Genomic DNA, 26,328 nt, shown 5'->3' with positions numbered 1-26,328 from the left:
AAGTGCCCAGAAACCACCAAGGATGCTCTAGTATCCAGGGCCAGTAAAGCCAGGGAGAGCTCACATCTCCAGGCCTGAAGATGCAAGGACAGGGAGAGGCTACTGTTAACCAAAGGGAAAGAGAGAGCTGTGGGGTTGGAAGTAAGGTGGGCGTTCATTTCCTGCCATGCCTAACATTGGCCAAACCCAATCAGAAGCTAGACAGCAAGGGAGCCTGTTGATGTAATACATGCAGATCATGTGCCCAAGAAATAAATAGGATGGAGAAAGGTGGAACATGGATTGAGAGAGGTAAACGGAATGTTTGGGGGACACAGGTATGCTTGGGAGAAATAGCAGCTATAATACCACCCGTTCCAGGCACTATACATTAAATCTGGTCTCATGACATCCATGTGAGGTAGACATGAGTGCCCCTCTTCCACAGATAAGGAAATTAAGGCTGAGAGGCCCCTAGATAGTAAGTAGGCTATGAAATCCTTGCTCCTTTCACTGTACGGTGCTGTCCTAATTTCTACCCTGGAGCTGGTTAGAACAAGAGAGTCTGCAGCCACTTTGAATTCCCTGGCCTCCCCTAAATGCTGCTCGGCTCCAGAATAACAGTTCTCAGAGGACTGGCTCAAGAACACTGGCCCACAGTACACTGTGGATTTAATTCTCAACTCTGCTCCCTGACTTGGTTTGGTAGGGGAAGTCCTGGCCTCATTTTTTTTTTTTTTAAGGAAAATACACATCTAGATAACAGTCCACCCCAACACTGCTTTACTTGTGCAGTGTAATGACTTTTTAGGGTTAATCAGGTCTCGTCAACAAAACCCATAGATATAGTGATGATAAAAACAATGGATTATCACTGATTCGAGAGGGGAGAAGTTAGGAATGAAATGGCACATAGTACACTATGTAAACATGAGAGCTATTCAGTGGGTCAGATGAGGCAGAGAACTGAGGAAGACGCAGAGAACCAGGCCCTGCAACCTTCACCTCCCAGGTTCAAGTGATTCTCCCACCTCAGCCTCCCTAGTAGCTGAGATTACAGGCATCCACCACCACGCTTGGCTAATTTTTTTGTATTTTTAGTAGAGACAGGTTTTCACCATGTTGGCCAGGCTGGTCTCAAACTCCTGACCTCAGATGATCCTCCCACTTTGGTCTCCCAAAATGCTGGGATTACAGGCATGAGCCATCGAGCCTGGCCGATACTCTCTTAAAGAAGCCAAGCTTCTCTGTTACTGTTATTTTATTTTCCAGCCAATAAGACATACAGGAAAATATAGTGTTTGAAAAAAGAGGAGCTTCATGTTGAGCATGTTATTTCCCTGTGGCTCGAGCTTTCTCACCAGTAAAATGGGTAGCATCTGTGTGGTAAAAACACTTCTTTTCTCCTCTTTATTATTCTCTTCTCTCATTAGACTTTTCTAGCACTCACTTTCACATTGTTACATTTTCTCTTCACTGTTTTTTCCCCTCAGGCCCAGCTCCTATCTTCCCTAGTGACAGCCACACCTCCACCTCCTCCACCTTTTTCAAATGTCCTCTCCATGCCAGCCTTGCTCAAACACTTTTACGTATCACTTCTACCGATTGGCTTTCAAAGCTTCCCACTGGGTGGATATAATTATCATCACCCCCATTGTACAGATGAGAAAACTGAGGTTTGGAATCCTGCCAAAGTCACCTGGCTCATACTTACTAGGGGTGTAAACAGCTGTCGGGGAGAGTGAATACCTCTTCCAACAATCTCAGTGTAAAGAGAGTGCTCAGAATACAGAGAAAGGACCAACACCACCATTGCCAGCCTCTCCAAAAAGGTCCACCTTGAGGATGGAAGACGTGGTCAGTGTTTCAGTCATTTGATTTTAAAGCCATTTTATCTCCATGATCCCATGATCCCCTATTAAAATACAACTAGTCCTGAGAATAGTCATGCTGGACCTGCCTGGTGGGGGCAGGGCACAAGATGGGTTTTGGGATTCAACTCTCCATTTTTACAAAGCATAATCTAGAGGATCTTTTTTTTTTTTTTTTTTTTTTTGAGACGGGGTCTCACTCTGTTGCCCAGGCTGGAGTATGATAGTGCAATCTAGGCTCAGTGTAACCTCCACCTCCTGGATTCAAGTGATTCTCCTGTCTCAGCCTCCTGAATAGCTGGGATTACAGGCACCCGCCACCACGCCTGGCTAATTTTTGTGTTTTTAGTAAAAATGGGGTTTCACCATGTTGGCCAGGCTGGTCTCAAACTCCTGACCTCAGGTGATCTGCCCACCTCAGCCTCCCAAAGTGCTGGGATAACAGGCATGAGCCACCACGCCTGTCCTCTAGAGGATCTTTGAAGAGGAAGGTGGCACAAGCCAGGGCCCAGGACACAGGGTTTCGAACTCCCAGCCTGATGCTCTCCTACTGGCTGCTTGGGTATCACTGCCTGGTGGATCTTCACGGTTTTCCATGACTAAATTACAAATGGTCTTTCCCTCTTTATAACTGCAGTCACACCAAAAAAAAAAACCCCAGGAACTTTACTAAATATCCTCTGAATGAATGAATGGCTGGTTGGTGGGCTGAATGAACAAACAGGATTTCAAAGCCTGATAGGCAGGGGCACAGCGGACCCCTTGTAGTTTCACTTAGGTCTACCATGCCATGTACATTGTACAATTTGTGCATGGTGCAAAGATGTCTGATGAGGGGGCAAGTAATGGCTGAAGTTGAGAATGAAGGAAGTGATATTGTCTTCCCAGAGGGAATGACTTGTTGTAATTCATATAGAGGCTTATAAGTGCTAATAGATGCCCTAGTGTCGCACTTCTTTCTGTCTACTCTACCTGCAAAGTCTTTCCTTCCCTTATCCACATAGAAAACTCCTATGCATCCTTTAAAACCTTATTTAGATACTGCCTTCTCTGTAAACCTTCCCTGATCTTCAGCAGAGTTAATCCCTCCTTGCTCCTCATTACTTCTCTACCATATATATACTTCTTTTCTTTTTCTATAAATTATTAGACATTTACTTATTTTTGTCCAGTTTCTGGCTAAAAACACACACACAAATAATGACTGAACTGTAAACTCAACTGTACAATGGGGTAAATTACATTAGCCATGTTAACATCTTCAAGTCCCTTATTACTTGCTAACAACAAAAAGAGCATTTTATCCATTTTTTCAAATTCCTCTGCCACTGTCCTAGTCCAGGTTGCCATCATTCTCTCTTCTATCCTTCAAGTCTCAGCTTAAATGTCACCTCCAGAGAGAGAGGACTTCCCTGATCATCTTATATAACCAGTGTTCTTTCCCACCCTTTAAAAGCTCCCCTCTATCATTCTGCTTATTTAATTTGTAGTATTTGTTAGCTGAAATTATTCTATTTATGGGCTTTCTTCTGTGTTGTGGCCCCTACCAGGATGTCAGAACCATGAGGCAGGGACCGTGTCTGTTCTGTCACTTCTGTGCCTCAGCACTTGGCCTAGAGCCCAGTACAGAGTAGGACCTCACTAAATGCTCTCTGAATGAATGGAAGGGACAATGAATAGATGGAAAAGGAAGGAATGACAAACAGGATTTCAATGCCCAATAAGTGTGGCCACAGTTGACTCCTCCTACATCTCTCGAACCATGTGTGGATTCTGGGATGTGGAAGGATGAGAAGAAGCTCTGGCAGAGGTGGAAAAGTTCTCCCTGGCTCTGTTCCTGTGTTGGCCCTTACCTGTGTGGTGACCCCGAGTCCTGGCACAGGATGGCACAGTCATCTGCCTCTGAGTGATATCATGGGTAGTGCCCAGCTTCTCCCTTTGCCCAGAGAGAGAATATAGAGACTGTGCTGGAGGTACCAACAGCTCTTGCCACCTGCCTGTGACCAAGTCACCACTGAGCACCCAGCAAGTGCACCAAGGAGCAGCCCTGGCAAAGCAACAGAGAGCAGCAGGGGTTTAGGAAGCAGGTGCAGAAATGAGGCTCAGCAGGAGATGCGGGGGGCAGGTATTTTGCTCTCTTGAATTCAATTCTGATTCTGAACATTTTCTGAATCTGCTTGCTTTTCTTCAAAGTCAAATATGAATTCAAATATTTTCTATTTGTATATACATCTGTTTATACTTATATATACACATATTTAAAGTATATGTATATGGTTATATAAATATAAATATATATTTGCAGATATAAATACACATTTGCTTTATTTATTTATTTATTTATTTTTGAGATGGAGTTTTGCTCTGTCGCCCAGGCTGGGGTGCAGTGACGTGATCTTGGCTCACTGCAACCTCCCCCTCCTGGGCTCAAGTGATTCTCCTGCCTCAGTCTCCCAAGTAGCTGGGATTACAGGCATGTACCACCATGCCTAATGTTTGTATTTTTTTTTTTTTTTTTTTTTAGTAGAGATGATGGGGTTTTGCCATGTTGGCCAGGCTGGTCTTGAACTCCTGACCTCAAGTGATCCGCTCACCTCGGCCTCCCAAGGTGCTGGGATTATAGGCATGAGCCACTGTGCCTGGCCCATAAATACACATTTATAAGTGTGTTTTTATGTGTGTGTATAAACATACACACACACATATATATATATATATGGATATGGATGTGTATGTGTTATTTTAATTTTAGCTTTTTTTTAAATTTTAAGATATCTGAACTAGCCCATTGTTTCCTAGCTGAGCTCACAGAAAAACTGATAATGATACTGAGTTATTAATTTAATTCATGTGTTCTCAAAATGGGGGCCCCAGGCCAGCAGTGTTGGAATCGCCTGGAAATGTGTTTAAAATGCTGATTCTCGGGTCCTATCCCCTGTGGAATCAGAGCTTCTGGGGTGGGGCCCAGCAGCAGGTGTTTGAGCAAGGCCTCCTGGCGATTCTCTGCAGGCTCACATCTGAGAACCTCTGCTCTCACCAAGAGAAGGTGAGGAACAGTGGCTGATAGTCGGTAAGGAGCTATCATTCTGAATGGTACTTTGGCAATGGGAGATGCTTTCCAGGAAACACAGCGCTCTCAAAGAGTGCACTTTTATCTTGGAAAAGCACAATCAGATCAACAGCGAATGAGCTCCAAGGCCTCCCATCCAGCATGGGGAGACCCTCTGAGTGGTCACCCACTCCTCAGGAATGCCCCTATGATAACACCGTGAGGGAAGGCAGAGCTCCTCACCCTCTGGGTCCCTGGGTGAAGGAAGCTGCACACTGAGCAAGTGACATAAGAGATCAACACGCAGGGTGAGAAGATCAAAAACCCTGAAGGTGGAGGATGAACTGTGAGACTTGGTTCCTTCCTGCTTTTCCCTGTGCCAATAAATGCTAGCTTTGCCAGGTCTGCTTGGGTAGCAAGTACCCCAAATGGAGCAGCAACAGGCCTCCAACTGATTTCTCCCTCGCTGTGTGTCTGTCTCTAATTAAGCCACACAGGTCCATGGGGAAGGACAGGTTGGTTCCAGATTGGCTAATGGATGAGATAAACTTTTCTAGCTCAGAGGTCTGGCAGAAGATTAAGTGAGATCTGAGAGGGGGGGCTGGGGACCCCAGGTGGGCCTAAGAGAGAGGAGAAATTATCTGTCAGTAAATGAGAGAAGTGGGAAGACAGAAGGTGAGAGACAAGAGAGAGTGGAGAAAAACAGTTTCCTTCAGTTGCCCCAAAGGCCAAGTTACTATCATCATGGTTTTAAGATGGCTCCTCTTTTTTTTTTTGAGACAGAGTCTCGCTCTGTTGCCCAAGCTGGAGTGCAAGTGGTGCAGTCTTGGCCCACTGTAACCTCTGTCTCCCGTGTTCAAGCGATTCTCCTGCCTCAGCCTCCTGAGTATCTGGGACTACAGGTGCACGCCACCACACCCAGCTAATGTATTTTTGTATTTTTAGTAGAGACGGGGTTTCACCATGTTGGTCAGGCTGGTCTTGAACTCCAGACCTCAAATGATCCGCCTGCCTTGGCCTCCCAAAGTGCTGGGATTACAGGTGTGAGCCACTGTGCCCAGCCAAGATGGCGCCCCTTTATACTGAAAAGCTCTCTGATGCTGCAAAAGCCTCCCCACGATGAACCCATCAGCAAGGATAAATCTCAGACCATCCAACACCTAACTTTTACTTTTCCTGATTAAAGCAATGATTCATGTATGAAGGTGAAGAAGGACAATCTAATTGTTCCCAGCATGTACACAGCAGCCATCATCAAAGCCAAATGGTCCCTACTCCAAGGAAAAAGCATAACTTCCTGAGCTGCATTCATTCACCATCTCCCTTGTGCACTTGCTCGTTGCTCTTCCAGGGACATCTTCCAGAAAAGAGGCCTGAGGGATCCATTCACACTCTTGTGTCTTAAGGCTCCGTAGACAGGGCCAACTGCTGCCAAGAATCCAACCCAAGAAAATGCTCTTTTCAGATAAATCTCACAGCCCCCAACTGGAAAGCTCATGTAGCAACCAGAGCTTTGCTTTCCTCCAGCAAATTTATACCTCAGCCTGTGAAAATGTCATTTGCTTGCTTGCTTCAGCTTGGACTCTCTCACTTACTCCCCAAGTCTGCAGATATACAGATTGACTTTTAAGGTAGAGCCAAACCCATTTTTAACCAGAGTCCTGGGTATTCAGTTACTAAGAGTTCGGCTCCAAGTTCTAAGTGCTCACCCTCCCCAGTGGCGTACAGAAAAGTCACACGGTAAGCAAAAAGTTCTCCAACATGGCATGCTATACAAACTTATGAATGGCTTCTTTCAACATCCTGACTTTTGAAAGCAGGCTTGAGAAGGTCAGAAGATAGAGTCTGTTGCAACTCTTGCTTGCTCTCTGACCAAAGGAAATATATTTCTAGCTCTAGCTTCTCCAAAGAGAAAGTCTTATGATCTCTACCTCCCACATACCACGCTGGTCCCCTTGCTCCCTGCACCTCACTTTCTCTCATGCCAGATCATGATCTCAGGCCCTGAGCCTGACTCACAGAGGATCCATCCCCAGAATTCTGCCTTCCCCTGCAAAGTGGACTTTCTCCCATTCTGGGTTTTGAACAGAGATTCCACGACGCATGTTTGATCTCTTCACGCTCCATTTTCATTAGTCCTTCACACTCTCCATCACTTGGAAAAATACAAACAGCATGGTTCAGTTTGAAGGTTAAGAACTGACAGTCTCCATAAACATTTTTACAATAAAAGCTGACTTATCCACTGCCAGAATTCAATGCCTGTGGAAGGGGGGTGAGATGGAATGGAAGCAGGGAGCGGGAAGTGAAAACCTTCAACATCAGAAGGAGAGGACAAGTGCTCACCATTCAACTACTGGGTGAAAGAAATCCCCAGGGCTTTGCAGGCCAAAAATGACTGGATTGATCTCTGAATAATTAAAGTATTATAGGGAGGGAGGCAGAAATCCAAGGAGCAGAACAGCTAAGGTATAAATTCCTGACTTATGGAAAATACAAAGCAATCAATGGTCATAAGTTATAAAATTTCCAGGTCATGAATATTAAAAGTGGCCTAAGAAGAGATGATAAAATAATTCTCAGGATGTTTTCAGTAGGGAGAAGCAGAGGGTAAAATAGATGGGGGCAAAGGAGACCTAGAATGTAAGCCACACTCATCCCAAACCACCCAACATACTTAAAAGCTGAAATCACCTAATTAGCTGGGATTCATTTTGATGGTGTGTGGGCAGATGAGCTGCAGGGCATGTATCCATTTACTCATTCAATATGTAATTACTGAGAGCCAATTACTCCGTTCCAAAGACTGGAAATACAATAGGGAGCAAGATAGACACGAATCTTACCCTCATGGAGCTTACAATCCACAGCAGGGGTTCCCAAATGTACATCCTGATGCCTCAGTCACATCCCAAACCATATAAATCAGACAGGGAGTCTGGGGAAGGGTCCAGGCACCAGGACCTTAAAAAGATCCCCAGGCGATTCCAATGTGCAGCAAGTTTTGGAAGCTGCCTGGCATGCTTAACTGTGTTGCCATGGTTTGCCCAATCAATGAGGACAAAAGCCTTGCCCATTACTCGCTCTTTTCCTGCTCTGTTTGCTAAAACTCCATATGCCCCCAAGGACTTCATTCTCACGTCTTCAGTACGTGTGAAATTCTCCGCAAGCTGAATCGACTCTGAGCCTTATCAAAGGAGTTTCCTAACTGAAAGCACCCAGCCACATCCTTGAAAGCTAGTAGGGGCCCTCTTTATTCCAAACCTAAAATTGGACACAGTACCCAGTGTATAATCTGATAATGGTATAAAATATTTGAAACCTAGGCCATCCCAGAAATCCTAAGCCTCCTGGCTACCCTATCAACGTGGTCGTTTCATGGCATGAACCCTGGGAGCAGACTACCAGCAGTTTTCCATCTCCAGATTTCTTTGTTAAGGTAGAAAAAGAGAACATGCATGATAGCTCTTCCCTTCTGTTCACTGTGAGCTTTTATATCCAGTTCCCCTGGAAGCGATCGATGGAAATCCATTATAGACTTTCTTGGGCCTCCTCCTGGATTTTCATCAATTTGGAAAGGAAACATTACATTAAGCCTTTTTCTGGAAGGCCCCAGCAATTTTTGCAAATGAGAAAAAAGGAAAAGAGAGTGCAGAAAGGAGTCTGCTTTAAAGTTGTAATGAACATGCCAGGAAACAAAACAAAACAAAACAAAACAAAACAAAACAAAACAAAACAAAACAAAACAAAACGCAACAAAAAATGATGGAGGCTGAGAAAAATGGTTCAGGAGAAGTACTTCCTTTGGCTTCCCATTGTGTGTTCCGAAAGGCAAAGTGGTCCCCACTCGAACCACCAGAGCCTGCCAGTTGGCCAATTCAGCAGCATTCCACTACAGAGATTAAAACCAACTTTATGACTGTGGTGTAAATAATAAAGAGCCTGGCGGGGTTTCCTTCCAAAATGAAAGCTCGTTTATTTTCCGAGGTGTATAATTTGGTTGTAAATGTTTCCTTTGGGCCAAAACATCCTCGATTGGGCTTTTGCCTGGAACACATCACTACTTTGCTGGAGAAGAATGGACTCCGTGTGGTCCTGCCATGTCTGTCCACCTGGGGCACGGAAGGGTTCCAGTTGGCCTGCCCGTGTTTCATGTCTGGCGGCAGTGGTCTGCTGGCAGAACTAGGGGTGGGAGGCAGGGGATGCTGGCCTGGAATGGCTGCACCAGCTCCTCAGCCCTGTTCCATCTGTGAAATGGGCAGGCTCGCAGCTGATCTCCCTTCTGCCTGTTTTCAGTACCTTTCAGTGGTGGGGAGAACAGAAGATCATTAGGAACCCTGATTCCCGTGAGATTTGGCTTTTTCCCCCCAGATCTTTGTGTCCTTATTTTATTTATCTTTTCAAAAATCATCCTAAAAAATTCCACCCAACAATGAGTAATATTTGGATAAAGGCAACAGGTTCTTTGCAGGGCTCCTGACCTGACCACATGTACGTGGGGCCTGAACTTGGCCCACGATGTTTAGCCAATCTTACCTAAAGATAAACAGCTTTTTCTCCTGTACAAGCCGCTTAAGAAGTTACAGCACTTTCTACCAGTATTTTCATGTTGATCAACTCTCTTACATCATATACTTTCACCTTGCTTTCCATTTGTCCCTTCATGTTAATTCAAAGCCAGTGCTCGGTTTTGCAGATAGAAATATATTTATTCCACTGGCTTCCCCCGCTCACCCCCAAATGGCAGGTCATGCAGAACAGGGAAACATCTGGGGATCAAGGGAACGGCCTCAAAAGTCATCATATGCCATCCCTTCAGGTTGTTTCAAACTGTCCCTCTAACACTGGGTTTTGGATGAAGGAGACGAAAAGAAGTGAACTGAAAGGGGAAAACAAACTGAGCACATTTCACCCCAGCTACATGTGAAGAACACTGGTAGAAATTAGTATTATGAGGCCTGGCTCAAGAGGTAAAGTTCAATGGTCTTATTTATTATGAAATCACTTGCTGGGAAATGGTGCAGAATGCTTTTGCTACACTCAAGATTCTCCTGAGATTGATCTTGAAGCAGTATGTCAGGCAAGGTGTTGCATTAAAAAAATAGCTTCCTCTGGAGTGGAGACATCTCACTGGTAAGGCCCATCATCTTTTCAAAAGAATATCAAATTTTCCAGTGACATGGTTCTTCCAAGACAGTTCACACACCAGCAATGCAGTTCATACTCAGCTTTTTGTATACTCACCTGCTGCTGGATATCAGATCCCTTGTTGCTTCAAGTGGAGCAACAAGAAATGTTCATAAAGAAGAATCAAGCAACAAGAAATGCTAGAGAATAAGAATATCTGACAATTTGTGCACACAAAGAAATGTACTACTATGAATCGGGCAGCCACAACCTCAGTCTCCAAGTAACTTGCTGGCTTTAGCTCATTTCTTCCGCACTTTTGGACGCTGCCATCACCCACATAGCCCACCTGGAACTTGGAAAATCAGGTTTGCACAGCACTTGGAAACCACAACACTGACACACGATGAACAAGTCATAGAGGAAATTCTGACTTTCCTCTGTATCAGACCCACAAAGGCAAGGGATTTAGACCACTCCTGTTGCATGAATGTCACTTTTGCACTGTGGTTAGAGGATTTTGTTCTAGGACACACACATCACACTGGGATAAAAGAGAAACCAAGATCCTACTTCTTTTTGAAAACCGTAATTCTTTCCTACTTCACTACCTTATGTCAATACATCTGAGCCTCAGGGGCTGTAAGTCACTTCCTGTCGTGGTCAGGTTTCCTCTCCTTTATGAAGCTTTCAATACTTCTCACAGTTCCCAGGTGCAAACACGACTTGGCTGAAAGTCATTTTGAATTCAGAATATTGCCTACAGAGGCCTAGATGGTGGGTTTTGAGAAATAATCATCCCTCATGCTAAAGTCTCTCTTTTAAGTTGCTCCTCCTACCTACCTACACACACACACACACACACACACACACACACACACACACACCCCTCACTTTGCTGCCAGAAATGCTGTGGTTTCAGCCACAGCATCCGGCGAAGGTGTCCTGGGTCATTGGAACCCTCCTGACCTGTACAGGCTGCAAGCCACTGATAACTTCATCAGATGGGCAGACATGAATCAGGGGTCAGGAAGGGACACGCTGACACTTAAAGACACAACATTTCCTGATGCTGTGTTTTTGGTAAGTTGAAAAGTTTACTTCACAGAAGAACAAGAAATTGCAGACCCAGGCCCTCTTTCTGTCTCTAAATCTCTTCTTATTTTTTTTTTGAGACGGAGATTCACATTTTTTTGCCCAGGCTGGAGTGCAATGGTGCGATCTCGGCTCACTGAAACCTCTGCCTCCCAGGTTCAAGTGATTCTCCTGCCTCAGCCTCCCAAGTAGCTGGGATTACAAGCATGTGCCACCACACCTGGCTTTGTATTTTCAGTAGAGACGGGGTTTCACCATGTTGGCCAGACTGGTCTCTAACTCCTGATCTCAGGTGATCCACCCGCCTCAGCCTCCCAAAGTGCTGGGATTACAGGCCTGAGCCACTGGGCCCGGCACTATACATATATATATTTTTAAATCTCTGTCTTGCTCCCTTCTTTCCCCTGGAATGGTTTAAAAAAAAAAGAGAGAAGGATATTAATTACAATGCAGGAGTTATCAAGTGACTCTAAATTGCTTTATTAAAAACCAAGTTCAGTCAGGTGGTTTTACATTGAAAAGAAAAAAGAAAAGGTATGAATGGAGAATCCCAAATCAGTTACTTTCTTCTTATAAGGCCAGGGCACTGGGGGATTGGACAAGGTCTTAGAACTTGGGAATTTAATCATGGCTTTGCCATTGTCCATTTCAGGCAAGTAGGTAAACTTTCCGGGTCTCAGGTTTCTCATCTATAAAATGAAAAAACACGTATCTGCTCTGCCTCCTTAAATGTGGTGAAGGCATTTTGGAAAGCACGACACTCCCTGACCTTCCAGACTTTCTTGGGCACTTTCCATATGCAAGTAGCTACACTGCATGCCATGGGTATAACAGAGGAGTAAGCTACAGTTGCTGGTCACATGGCCCTTCCTCTGTCCTGGCAGGCAGAGTGGGCAGTAGGGATGCTTCGTACCCACAGATAGGCAGGGAGCAGGAAGAATGCAATATTCACTCAGTGGATGAACCATGCTGTGAGGGTTCAGAAGTGGGCCCATTTCTACCTCGACAGTTCACAGAAAAGCTTTTTTTTTTTTTTTGAGATGGAGTCTCGCTGTGTTGCCCAGGCTAAAGTGCAGTGGCATGATCTTGGCTCACTGCAACCTCCGCCTCCTGGGTTCAAGTGATTCTGCTGCCTCAGCCTCCCGAGTAGCTGGGATTACAGGTGTGTGCCACCATGCCCGACTAATTCTTTTTTGTGTATTTTCAGTAGAGACGGGGTTTCACCATGTTGGCCAGCTGGTCTTGAACGCCTGACTTCAAGTGATCTGCCCACCTCAGTCTCTCAAAGTGCTGGGATTATAGGCGTGAGCCACAGCGCCCAGCCCACAGAAAAGCTTTTGTGGCCTGTCCAGAATTTTTGCAACCGGAAAGAGGGCAAAGAACATCGGAGTGGGCGGGTACAAGGAATAGTGAGAGTCTAATTTGGCTGAAAATGCAGCCTATAAATTGAGGAGCAGGAAAGGTGGGTCAGTTCCAGATATGGAGTTCCTCAGTATCTGTTTTGAGTCATGGAAAGGGGAATGATTGGAAGTTTGTGAGCAGAGGAGAGCAACAGTTTAGAAGATGAAACTAAGTATTATTTTGAATTGACATGAAAGGAGAGAAATGAGAAATGAAATAAAATGAAGGAATTAAGGAAATCTGGAAAAGTAAGGACCCATGTAACTACACTAGAGTGTGCAGGGGAACTATCACTATTGGGACACACAGGAATGGGCAGGTACATGTGGAGGGGAGTATGGCAGGCAGCTTCTGAAATGGCCCTCAATGACCCCATCTCCTGGAATACACAGCCTTGTGCAATCCCCTCCCTTTGAGTGTGGGATGGAGCAAACGACTTGCTTCTGACAAATAGGGTATGGCAAACATGATGGAATGTCACTGAGATTAGGTGACAAAGACTGTGGATTTTGTCTTGCTCATACTCTTTTTCTGGCTTTATTCACTTACCTGCTCTGATAAATTCTGCTGCCATCCTGAGAGCTGCACCACGGAGAGGCCCACATGGCAAGGAACTGAGGGCTACCTTTACTGTAGCCTGTGAGAGACCATGGGCCAAGGGATCCAGGTAAGCTGTGTCTGAATTCCGGACCCATGGAAGTTCTGAGATAATAAACGTGTGTTCTTTTGAGCAGCTACGGGGTAGCATAAGTATAGGGTAATTTGTTATACAGCAATAGATAACCAATACAAGAAGGAAGGAAGATATTTAACCAACATGGGGTGGCAGGGAATAAGTGCTTTTTGGTATTAAAATCCCAGACTCATGGTCCAAAGTTGTGCATGTTCTTTCTTCTAGACTTTTTTGACTTTAGGAACATTTTATAAAAAGAAACCTCTCCACCACTCCTTTCTTTCATTGTTTCCAAGGTTGATTAAAGAAACATGACCTGATGTTCAATTTCAGAAGACTCAGAAGGGCCTTCCAATAGAAAACTGGCAGGAAATTAATGCCATATACACCAGGCAAAGCAGATGTTTCTGAATATGACACTTAGGTGAAACACACCTTTCCCTTTTACACATTTTACTCACTTTTGACTTGTGCATAGGTAGTTTGCTTCTAGGGGAATGAAAAGGGGGACATGTCTTCTCAATAGAAAATGTGGTCAAAACCTGGCCAGGGATTTTGAAGAAACCACATTATCTCCTTATCTGTGTTTAAATTATGGAAGTATATAGTAAAGGTAATACCATGCCTGTGAACTGGAATAAGCCTTCATGCTAAATAAGTATCTTTAATATGTTTTTATATGCAATGTGTTTGCTTATCATTAAATTCTTTTCACTAGTCATCTTGCTGTGTGAAAACAAATCACAAAGCTGCCTTACCAAATAATTTGTAGGACTTGAGGACATGTAATGTCCGAATAAGTGACCACTATATATTTTCATTAGCTTATGCTGGTTTTTTTTTTTTTTGCATAGGACATCTTCTACAGTAGTGGTAATCCTCCATATTTCAGCTGACACCTCTATGTGAGCTGTGGTCATCTTAGTGTCGAGAGAGTCCCCTCTGCCCACATGAAAACCAGTCAGAGACGAGCTGTTTTGAATCAAGTCTCCTGCTCTTGTAGACTTTTAGTTTGACCTTGGAATGTTCAAGCAGACCTCTGCATTTAATCCAAGATTGAGGCAAGTTTTCTCTCTGCCTAGGTTTATCTTGTCTGTCTGTGAACAAAAGAGAGGATAGCAAAGTACCTTGTTTGGATTTGTCTATAAATGTGACCTTCCTAAACTGGCTAACAGGGCTCTCTTTCTGACCTGCAGATGAATCACCAGTGCCTACACTGGAGATGTGGTAATAGACAAACACTCCCTTCTGCAAATACCATGAGCATTGAGGTCTATCCTCATTCCACTAAGCAAACATATTATGTGGAAAATTGAGAAACAATTCCATCTTCCCTTCAAATATCTATTTCAGGAAAACTGTGCCTGCTATTCTAACTGCAGAAATACTCTGAACCTCTAAGTCTTGTCATTCCATATCAAATGGGTTGTAACAATTCCTACTGAAACCATGTTTTGCTGATTAGTTAATGGATAGACATAGTGCAAACAGATGCTTAACGGTGATGGATATAGCTTAAAATATTGGGCATGCTTAATTTCTTCCCTAGGTTTTGGCATTAGTGAAGGGCTAATTTTTTTTTATTCATAGCTTATATTTGAAAAGTGAGGGGATGCATGGCAGTCAATGGCATTCAGATGGTCGTTTTACTGCTTTTATAATAAGAGAGACCTAGAGGTCAAGCAGGAATAAGACAAACAGCTAAGAGGACAGCCCTAAGTGTGGAACACTGCAGAATCTTAAAAGCATAAGCCATATTGAGTAATGAGGCAGAGAGGGCTAGCTTTCTACCAAAAATACGTGTCTTTGTGCCAAGCTGGAGGCAACCCTTATCAGGGAATACATTTCCAAGTCATCCCGCATCAAAGGATGATCTATGTGAGCAGAAGTGATGTGTGTCACTTCTGAGCTGGGACTGCTAAGAAGACATCAGGGCCTCCATCATCCTGGGTCCCTGAATGACTGCATGGAACTGACCACTAAGAAAGCTGAGGGTGAAAGATGTTAAATGTTGTGCCCATGGTCACAGCCAGTTAGTGACAGAGTAGGGACTCAAAGTTATGTCTTCTGAATTCCAAGGCAAGAGTTCTTTTTTGGTAATAGACAAGGAACTTCTTCCCCAAGCCACGCAGTCACAGTGATTAAAAGCATGGACTCTGGTGTCCAGACAGCCAAAGTTCAAATCTTGCCTCTACCTCTGCTATCTGTGTGACTTGGACAAGGTACTTAACCTTATTGTGTAAAATGAGGATAACAATAATGCCTACCTCAAGGTGTTGTTTTGACGGTTAAATAAGTCAATATTAATCAAATGCTTAAAAAAGTGTCTGGCCCACAGTAGGGACTATTTAAGTATATGACAAAAACAAGTAGATAAAATCAGGTGAAATCTGTATAACTACCAGCTCCCACTACTTCACACATGAACAGTAAGGAACCCGATGTCTTAAGCTATGGCTGCCAACCTCACCTATCAAGGCTCAAGTAATTCCTACCCCTCATCTGATGCTTTTATACCAACCTTAATAAGCATAGAAACAACAGCCTAGAAGCCATCATGCCAATGAGCAAAGAGTCTCACCTCCATTCAAGAGAAGTGCAGGACCATTCCCATCATGGCTCCCCCAGCTGCCATCAAGAGACCAGGCTCTCCATTCTACACATCTCTGAACACTTAATTGGACTCAGCCTGTCCTCCTTCACCTTCCCAAACCTTTTACTGGACCTTCTCGGGCTTTTCCTCCATGATAATCAATCTCTCATTTTCCACTTCTCTGAACATCCCCTCAACCTTCTCCTGGATCTTCTTGGTTCCATGGCTAACTCCTGACTTTTTCTTCCCCTTCCTCCTGAAAAATAAAAACAAAAACTGAACAAACAAATCCTGCTCCTTTCAAGATGCTGGATGTTCCAACTGCTCTGTGGAGTTTCTGGTCATTCTCCGTTCATCTAAAAGCCCAGCTTCTGGCTTAGTCTTCTTTACCATTGACCTCCTGTTGTCCTTTTTGGTGACTTCAACATCCATGTAGATGACCTCCCCAGTTCTTGGACCTCCTCACCTCCCATACCCTTTCCCTCTACTGCATCTCAACCACCCTCTTCCCTAGACCTTTTGTCAGTAAACCTTCTACATAAAGACACTTTCCATTCTTTTAACTCATTTTTCCAGTTTTAAAACTCATTGAGATCTCCAAGCCACTGCCATTTTCTCACCTCCCTTCAGCCTTCTCTTGTTTTTACTTTCCTTCTTCAACAAGTGTTCTTTTATTTTAATCATTTCCTTGCAACGGCCCTCAACTCTGCTTGCCCCTTTCTCTTCTCCTTATATATTTGACTGGCAACACCTCCATTTTGGTTGAACTCAGTGATCCAACTTCTGTAGGTTAGTAGCCAAGCAGGTGGGTGATGGGAACAATAAAAGCATCCAACTTGACAAACTTGCTTTATTTTAGATTCATGTCCTCAAACCCTCAAATGAATACTAAGCACTGTTCCAAAATCCAACTGCCCTTCCTTCACAACCTTACTTGCTCCAGTATCCAAGATGACCATTTTATATCTTCTCTCCTCAAACGTCCTACTTGTGCTCCTGCCCTCACTTCATATTTCACTGATGGAACAGGAGTCATGAGATGGTAACTCTTTTATTACCATCACTCTATTTATACTCCTGTCTGCATAGCTCATTTTCTTTCTCTTCCCAATTGTTACACAGAACAAGCTTTCCTGCTTCTGTGAAAGGCCAATGCTCACACATAGCCCCTTGCCTTCTTGAAGAATTCACTCCTCATTTCTCCTCTCTCAGTTTTGCATCATCAATCTCTCCCTTTCTATTGGATCGTTCTCATCAGCCTCACAGATGCCCTGGTATCTCTGATCTTACATGAACCAAAAACTCTTTTTTGACCACATGTTCATATATCTCCCCTTTTTATAGTAAAACTTTTGCAAGACTTATTTGTATATTCTGTCTCCATTTCCTCACCTTCCATTTGTTCCTTTACCCAATAGACACTGGAGTCTGTTCCCATGATGCCTCTGCAACTGCAGAGCAGTTGGTGACCTCATTCAGGTCACCAGTCATGGCTGCGTTGCCCAGTTGAATGAGCACTTCTCTGGCCTCATCTTTTTTGTTCTCACAGCAGCATTCGATAGAAGTCCTCTCTCCTTAAGGCATTCTTCTCCCCTGGCTTCTGTGACACACCTCTTGGTTCTCCTTTTACCACTTTCATCATGACACCTCACTCTCAGCTCCCTGTCCACTTCACAGCCTCCCTGCTATTATCTTCACTTACATGTCCCAGAGGCATCTCATATTCCACATGTCCCATATAAATCCACTGACATGAACTCTACCCTTGTGAAACTGGAAGCTGTCTTTGACTCTTCACTTCTTAACTCTGAAATGCAATCCAACAGCATATCCTGTTGGCTCTGTCTCAGAACTGTGCCTTGCATCCATCCACTCTTCTCTACCCTGGTCCACATCCCATCACCTCTTACCTGAATTATTGTGAAATTTTCTAACATATCTATGTTCTTCCCTCTCATTATCCACTGATCAGATGGAGCCATCATTTAGAAGCTCTTCAATGGCTGCTTCCTCACCAATCCTAGAACAGCCATATTCTTTATCATGACCTGCAAAATCCTTGCTTTTTTCTGCAAGTTCATGTGCCACTTTCTTCCTTACACACTGTTCTCCAGTCTCTTTTCCATCCCTTAGTCATGCCAAAGTCCTTCCTATCTCAAGGCTTTGGTGTTTGTGATTCCGTCTGCCTGACTGGCTCTCCTGAGTTCTTTGCAGAGCTGGTCCTTTTATTCCCCCAGCTCAGGACTCAAGTGTCACTTTTCCATCAAGTCCTTCCTTGACCACCCTCTTTTAGTAGGAACTCCCAGTTATTCCCTATCTTTTGCTCCCTGTTTATGTCCTGCTAAGCACCTATCACAATCTATAATAATTCCTTTATTCTGAATCAATTATTGTCAGTTTTCTTTCTAGAACATAAGCTTGTTCTCTATTGAATCTCCAGTGCCTAGCACAATATCTGCTGATCACAGCCACGCGATATGAAAGTGCTGAATGAATGAATGGAATTGTAGAATGCCATGTGGCTGGGCAGTGCTCAATGCTTATATGTACATTATTTCATTTGCCTTACTGCAGTTTGGTTGTATATTAAATAAAAGAGACAATTCATGTCCATTTAATTACCTTTCTGCTCCTGTAACAACCTAAGAGCAACCACCATGTAGCAGGATCCCAGCACTTTAGATGTACACTTACTCTAATTCTCTTTAGCTAAGTGGGGCTATAAAAACTTTTACAGATGTTCAGAAATGGGGGATTGTGTGGCTTCATGAAAGATGACTTGCTTTGGAGTCTGGTACTGGCTGTAGGATAAATGAATGGTATGGTCTTAGCCAAATCTTTTAATTTCTCCAGGTTTTAGATTCTTTGTCAATGAAATGAGACATTGGGGCTTGGCTTTCTTGCCTACAACAACATTCTAGAATTTGGTGAGTGTCTGCAACCTGCCTTCTAAACAGAGTGCCTCACCATGGAGTGCAGGTGGGTTGGAGCACAGATGAAGCCCCGGTCCAACCTGGGCATTCCTGCAGCCATGTGCAGTGACCCTTGTGTATGTGAGTACCTGTCATGTGCCCACGTATCCTGGTGGCACAAAAGGTACTTCATGTAGATTGTCAGGACCAAGACACAGAACGTTCTTGGGGCACACCACAATAATTCCCCCACTAGCATTCACCTTAAGATGAAAGAAGTAAGTAAAACCCTTCTCAGATCTCAGGGAGGACCCTGCAGATGGATCCCTGAAAACTTAAGGCCAAGGCCATTCATGCCCATTATTGGGTTCGTCCAGACCTTAGCATTAATCCTGGCCTTGGTGAATAAGAAGTGAAAGAACCATTGTGGGGCATGAGAGAACCACACCAGACAGAGTTTCAGGGCAATGAGTCCCTGGGGAGAACCTGGAACAGAACTTCGAATACCTAGTCTGCCACAGATTTTTTCCTGAGAACTTGCCTTTCATTATTTCTATTTAATACCTGCTGTTCAATGTTTAGATTCACTCTCTTTGTGATCCCAATGCCTCTTCAAATGTTTCCAGTTTTTTTCTAGTTGATGTGGATTCCCCAGATTTATCTCATTTCATGATGTCTTCGGAATTGCATGTTGTGCCACCATCACACTTCACACTCTCAGTAAGGAGCTCTCAGTTGTCTCACCTGGTTCGTGTCTTCCTGAATGTACCAGTGAGGGGAGCAGAGAGGGAAGGATGCACTGAGTTGTTAGCCTTTTTCCAGCAAAGTATGGAGAGCTGAACCTTTTCAGGAGTAATGGGTTAAACAGAAGTGGATGACTTGCCCACTCTTTAGAACGTTGTATCCTCTATGGGCTGATCAACTGCTATCATGAGTGAACCTGAAAGGATTATTCTGGATTGGTCAGTTTTCAGGAGGCTGGTCATTTTGATCGTAGATGTGACTTTCTCCACCACCTGGGTCAGACTCCATGTGAAGCCAAAAACATCCTGTATATTATAAATAATTTTACTTTTTTCCTTCTTGGAAAGTTAATAACATTCTTCATTTTCTGATAGGCATAAAAACAACTTTGTTGTTTTCTAGTTGAGTTCTAGTATCTGGAAATGCTAATAAGTCTGTGAGATTTTCACACTGGAATTATGTGGAGTGATGTCCATGTGGGTATTGGGGAACTATGTATAATCGATCCAGGAGTTTAATTTGGCCCCAACCCTTAAAAAAATGTTTACCCTACTGAAGGGCAGCTCCAAATAAGTTAATGAGTAATGGGCTATGAATTTTGCCATTTTGCCTGATTTTAGTGAGGTGGCCCTCTGGTTTGAAGTAGATTGCCTCTCATTAATGACCTTCTCAAGAACTTTCAGAGCCTAGGGAGAGGGCTAGAGCATAAAAATATAATTCAAATTAGTCCCCAAAAGTCACCATGTCCAGTAGAAGTCTCTCAGGCCCATGGCTGGACTTCTGGGAATGTTTGGGCAATGTAACCACAGTGATGTTTATTAAATGGAATGTCCACCTCACAGTGCTCTCAAAAGTATTCTTTTTTTTAAATTTTAAGTTATTGCTCCTCTTTATTGTAAACGATGTCCTATAAAGAAGATATATGTCTACAATTGAGCTTTGAAGGAGGACCATGGAGCCAGTTCCTTTTAAGGGGAATGAAGTCAAGCAGTAAATTTGCTGGTCACTCTTTTCATATGGACCGCATCTCAGCCAGCAGTTGGTCTTTGATGTTGTAACAATGGCACTGGGACCTGAGGCAGAGGAGCACCCCCATAATACTGAAACCAGCCTGCATTCATTCTAATTTGGAGAACAATCTGTGGGATAGTACGCACATCAGGGAGCCCAGAGAGTGAACTCCAGGGCTGTGGGTAATCTTTCCCAGTGAAAATCAGCCATCTCTTCTACACCATGTACCCTGCCTGCTGCATTCTTTACTCTTTTATTAAAATTGAAGTATGATATTCCTACAGAAATATACACATATATAACTCTACAACTCAATGAGATTTCACAAACTGAAGACACCTAGGCAACCAATGCCTAGATCAAGAGGCAAAACATTACCAGCACCCTAGCTGCCCTCCTTGGACTCCCTTTTCATCACTTCCCTGACAAAGGTAACTCTCTTCCAACAGCACAGGTTCCTTTTTCCTGGTTTTGAACTTTACCTAAACAGAATTATCCAGCATGTACTTTACTGTGCCTGGTTTCCTTCACTCAACATTACATTTGTGAAATTGTGCATGTTGCATATAGTTGTCATTTGTTCATTCCCACTGTGTACACTTAACTACCTTATTATCCATTCTGTTGATGGCATTGGGGTTGTTTCAAGGTTGGGGCCATTTTAAACAGTGCTGCTATGAACATTATTTTTTAGGTCTTTGAGTGCATTAGTGAATAGATTTCTGTTGGGCACATACTCAGGTGGAATTGCTGGGCCAAGGGCATGTTGATATGTTGGCTGTGTCCCCATTCAAATCTCAATTGAATTGTATCTCCCAGAATTCTCATGTGTTGTGGGAGGGACTTCATGTGTGCTGCAGGGGCAGGGTCCTCATGAAGAACCTCTTCTAGGGCAGTGCAGAAGGGAAATGTGGGACCGGAGCCCCCACACAGAGTCCCTACTTGGGCACTGCCTAGTGGAGCTGTGAGAAGAGGGCCACTGTCCTCCAGATCCCAGAATGGTAGATCTACCGACAGCTTGCACCATGTGCCTGGAAAAGCTGCAGACACTCAATGCCAGCCCCTGAAAGCAGCTGGAGGGAGGCTGTACCCTGCAAAGCCCCGGGGGCAGAGCTGCCCAAGACCATGGGAACCCACCTCTTGCATCAGTGTCACCTTGATGTGAGACCTGGAGTCAAAGAAGATCATTTTGGAGCTTTAAAATTTAACTGCCCTGCTGGATTTCAGACTTGCCTGGGCCCTGTAATCCCTCTGTTTTGGCCAGTTTCTCCCATTTGGAATGACTGTATTTACCCAATACCTGTACCCCCATTGTATCTAGGAAGTAACTAGCTTGCTTTTGATTTTACAGGCTCATAGGCAGAAGGTACTTGCCTTGTCTCAGATGAGACTTTGGACTGTGGACTTTTGGGTTAATTCTGAAATAAATTAAGCCTTTGGGGGACTGTTGGGAAGGCATGATTGGTTTTGAAATGTTAGGACATGAAATTTGGAGGGGCCGGGGTGGAATGATATGACTTGGTTGTGTCCCCAATCAAATCTCAACCGAATTGTTTCTCCCAGAATTCCCATGTGTTGTGGGAAGGACCCAGGTGGAGGCAATTGAATCATGGGTGCCAGTCTTTCCCATGCTAACTCAATGAATATCCCAGCATTAGTTGGAAAGGTGAGAAGTTTGTTAACATAATTGTCTTCTACTGTATTACTCCTAAGAATTGTAACTCTGAGCAGGTCCTTGTTAGAAGGATGGCCGAGACGGGCACATTGGCTCACGACTGTAATCCCAGCACTTTGGGAGGCCGAGGTGGGTGGATCACAAGGTTAAGAGATCGAGACCATTCTGGCCAACATGGTGAAACCCCGTCTCTACTAAAAATATAAAAATTAGCCGTGCGTGGTGGTGGGTGCCTGTAATCCCAGCTACTCAGGAGGCTGAGGCAGTAGACTTGCTTGAACCCAGGAGGTGGAGGTTGCAGTGAGCCAAGATTGCATCACTGCACTCCAGCCTGGGTGACACAATGAGACTCCATTTCAAAAAAAAGAAAAAAGGGAAGTACAATATACTATGCACAGAGCTTTGGAACTCCTGTCCCCAGGCATGTTCTGTTTCTCTTGTTGCATCTGGGGAAGGAAGGTAGGAAACGGTGCCCTTTCATCAGGGAAAGTGGTCGCAGGCTTATATTGTCCAAGCCCCGTGAGTGATGAATAACGTATTTGCAGGCACAGTTCCTACCATGTAGCACACAATTTGTAAGCAGTGAAAGGACAACCATTCTGAAAAAAGATGGAAAGTGATGGGCATGTGTTTCTTGACTCAGAAACAACCCTTGGTGGGGGCCGAATCATGTGCTGCCAGAGCAACCCATAGGATGACATGTGAGAGCTTTCTCCAGCTCTAACTTCTCAGTGGCAGGGCCCTCTGGGACTCACCCTTTCTCTTGGCCTGACTCTGGCCACACAGCCAGGCTGAGCAGCTTCTCAACACAGCCCTGGTGATGTTAACTATTCTTATCCCATTTTACTGAATGGGACACAGAGATGTAGAGAAGTGTAAGGATTTTGCTTAGGGGCAGAGACTTAACTGAGGAGCAGAACTGGAATCAAAACAACTCCAAAGCCCATGACCACTTTTTGGCTAGTCTGTTGGATCTTGTGACTTGCTTTGGCTGATGAAATGGTAACAGATATGACTGATGTGTAATCCCATCACCATGAGAGAAATGTGTGGCAGGTAACCTGCTGGTCACAAAAGAATGGGAGACCCATAGTGTAAACCTAGACCCAATCCATAGCTTAAAGCCATGCCCTGCCTAGATCTACTGAACCTCAGCTGACCCATGGACCCATGAGTGTGAGAGTACATGCTTATAATTGCAGACCGTTGAGATTTGGAGTAGTTGTCCTACAGCATTATTATTAGGCAATAGCTGGATAACACAGGACCTGTATTAAGTGCTTTCTGGGACCTGCAACTTGCAAGAAAAACATGCATGTAGACCAGTGTTTCTCAAACCATGACCTGCATATGATTAATCTGGGGACCTTGTCAAAATACAGATTCTGTAGGAAAAAATATTTGCAAACTATCAGATGCAAAAAATATTTGCATCTGATAAAGGGCTAACATACAGAATCCACAAGGAACTCAAACAACTCAGCAAGAAAAAACCAAATGACCTCGTTAAAAAGTCGACAAAGGACATGAACAGGCATTTTTCAAAAGAAGACATACAAGAGGACAACAAACATATGAAAAAATGCTTTACATAACTAATTATCAGAGAAATAAAAATTAAAACCACAATGAGATACCATTTTACACAAGTCAGAATAGCTATTGTTAAAAAATCTAAAAGCAACATATGTTGGCGAGGACATGGCTAAAAGGGCACACTTATACACTGTTGGTGGGAATGTAAATAAGCACAACCTTTATAGAAAACAGTATGGAGATTTCTCAAAGTACCAAAAAGAGAACTACCATTCAATCCAGCAATCCCACTCCTGAGTATATACCCAAAGGGAAAGAAATCAATACATCAAAAAGATACCCGCACTCATCTGTTTATATCACAGCACTATTCACAACAGCAAAGACATGGAATCAACCTAAATGTCCATCAGTGGAAGACTGGGTAAAGAAATATACCATGGAATACTACTTAGACATAAAAAAGAATGAAGTCATGTCTCTCGCAGCAACATGGCTGGTACCGGAGGCCATTATGCTAAGCAAAATAACTCAGAAACAGAAAGTCGAATACCACGTTCTCCCTTATAAGTGGGGGCTAAACAATGGGCATACACGGACATACAAAGAGTAATCAGACACTGGGGACTCCAAAAGGTGGGAGGTGGAGGGGATGAGGGCTGAAAAATTACTCACTGGGTACAATATTCACTACTCAGGTGATGAGTACACTAAAAGCCCAGACTTCACTACTACACAATATACGCACCTAAGAAACCTGCACCTGTACCCCCAAAATATATATAAGTAAACATTTTTAAAATGCAGATTCTGATTCAGTAGTTCTGGGCATGGCTTAAAACTCTTATTTTATAACAAGCTTTCAGGAGATGCTAATACTGGTGGTCTGTAGATCGCATTCTGGGCGCAAGGGCTGAGAAGCCATTCTGAGCTTCTTGTCTATCTCTGGGCCATGAATGCACCTAGTGAACATTTGGGCAATGGATGGGTTACCTTATGTGTAAGAGAAGGACAGTATTTTCCCTCATAATGAGAATCCTATGTGAGTCACTAACAATCTGTATTTTCCTATGTCCCATGTGCCCAGAAGGTCAGAATTTCCTCAATTCATTTCTTGGGCTAAGAATTAGGAACATCTAATGGGATCTCCTTTTTTTTTTTTTTTTTTTGAGATGGAGTTTCGCTCTTGTTGCCCAGGCAGGAATGCAATAGCACAGTCTTGGCTCATTGCAACCTCTAGCTCCCTGGTTCAAGCAATTTTCCTGCCTCAGCCTCCCGAGTAGCTGGGATTACAGGAATGCACCACCACGCCCGGCTAATTTTGTATTGTCAGTAGAGATGGGGTTTCTCCATGTTGGTCAGGCTGGTCTCGAACTCCCGACCTCAGGTGATCCACCCGCCTTGGCCTCTCAAAGTGCTAGGATTACAGGCATGAGCCACCGCGCCCGGCAGGATCTCCATTTTTATTTTTGCTCTTCCTACTCCCTGAAATTTGAAGATTCCCAGCAATAAACTTGGCTTCCAATTCATGTTGAGCTCAAAATCCATACCAGGTTTCTATGTCACAATGTAATTGAGGCCCCAGGCAGGAGATACGAAATCTATTTCTGGTTTTCTTAATTTCCACTCATGGGGACAAGGAATGGGGCAAGAGAATCAAGGAATATTGGACAGCAGGACACGGGAGAAGTAGAGTTTTCTTCTGGGACACTTTTCCGGCCTGTTTTCTTTTTTTTTTTTGGTCCAGCATCGAATTTTCTTTTCACAACCCCCACCATGATGGTCACTACAATCAATGTCTGTCACCACCATCACTTGGAGAATCGAGACCCATGAGACTACTTTGGGCATTCTGAAAAGAAAGGAGAATTCCTTCTAAGGAGACAGTATCTTCTCTCCTTCTTTCAGTATTTCATAATATACTGTAGTTCATACACTTACATTTTAACCAAGAAAAATATCATCCTGGGATTCAACCTTCAAATGCTGTGAAGTTTTCCAAGGGAGTACCTGGATTGTTGTAGATCCTAAACACTTTATGTGAGTGCACCAAAAAGATTTCCAGAATTTCTTAATAAGCTAAACATACAACTGCTATATGATCCAACCATTCTGCTCCAAAGTATTCACCCAAGAGAAATGAAAGCAAATGTTCACACAAAGGCTTATACCTGAATGTTCACAGCATCTTTAATAGTTGCCAAATAGGAAATAACCTAAATGGGTCAATGGGTAAACATATGGTGGTATATCCACACAATAGAATATTAATTGGTAATAAAAAGGAACAAATTATCTATGCACAGAACAACATGAATGAATCTCAACATGAGCAAAAAGCCATATCATGCAATGCTATGCATTCTGTATTCCACTTATATAAAAGTCTAGGAAATCCAACACTAATCTACAGTGAGAGAAGGCAGATCAGTGGTTGCTTGGAGATTGCTGAAGCTCACAGAGGAGCACAAGGAAACTTTTCAGATGGTAGATTTATTCATCATCTTGACTATGGTGATGGTTTTACAGGTGTCAGTATTGTCAAATTTTTCATTTAAATATGTACAGTTTATTAGTTGTCAATTGCACTTCAACAAAGCTGTATTTAAAAAAATAATAATAAAATGACTGCCACTCTTCTCCTCCTGTCCTCACTGCCATC

At 43.6% G+C, this 26,328-nt stretch overlaps 2 protein-coding genes and 1 long non-coding RNA gene across 5 annotated transcripts in view, besides 1 other annotated feature; 2 read left to right on the top strand and 1 right to left on the bottom strand.

Moving 5' to 3' along the window:
• TASP1 (taspase 1) overlaps positions 1-26,328 on the top strand; it is a 534,161-nt gene that overhangs the window by 380,502 nt on the left and 127,331 nt on the right. Inside the window, exon 15 of one of the 2 annotated variants that reach the window (XR_007067463.1) lies at positions 1-26,305. This exon is cut by the window's left edge and continues 7,752 nt beyond it. The exons of the other annotated variant lie outside the window; for it this stretch is intronic. The gene's annotated coding sequence lies outside the window, so the exon portion shown is untranslated. Of the gene's footprint in view, positions 26,306-26,328 lie in introns of those variants that run through there. 2 annotated transcript variants of the gene reach the window in all.
• Positions 1-26,328, bottom strand: part of ISM1 (isthmin 1) — a 105,450-nt gene that overhangs the window by 68,293 nt on the left and 10,829 nt on the right. The gene's annotated exons all lie outside the window — the stretch shown is intronic.
• Positions 10,795-11,089: an enhancer, noted in NCBI's record as "tiled region #1935; K562 Activating non-DNase unmatched - State 24:Quies". NCBI's record gives its function as "activates a minimal TATA promoter and a strong SV40 promoter by Sharpr-MPRA in K562 cells {active_cell/tissue: K562}" and the evidence as "EXISTENCE:reporter gene assay evidence [ECO:0000049][PMID:27701403]".
• ISM1-AS1 (ISM1 antisense RNA 1) lies at positions 18,744-21,011 on the top strand. The gene is made up of 3 exons (NR_040043.1): positions 18,744-18,978; positions 19,327-19,447; positions 20,322-21,011. It is a non-coding gene; the product is annotated as an ISM1 antisense RNA 1 (long non-coding RNA).

Source organism: Homo sapiens, chromosome 20 (genome assembly GCF_000001405.40).
Source record: "Homo sapiens chromosome 20, GRCh38.p14 Primary Assembly".
NCBI lineage: Eukaryota > Metazoa > Chordata > Mammalia > Primates > Hominidae > Homo > Homo sapiens.
Note: the sequence above shows the minus strand (reverse complement) of the source record. Positions and strands in the feature narration are given on the sequence as shown.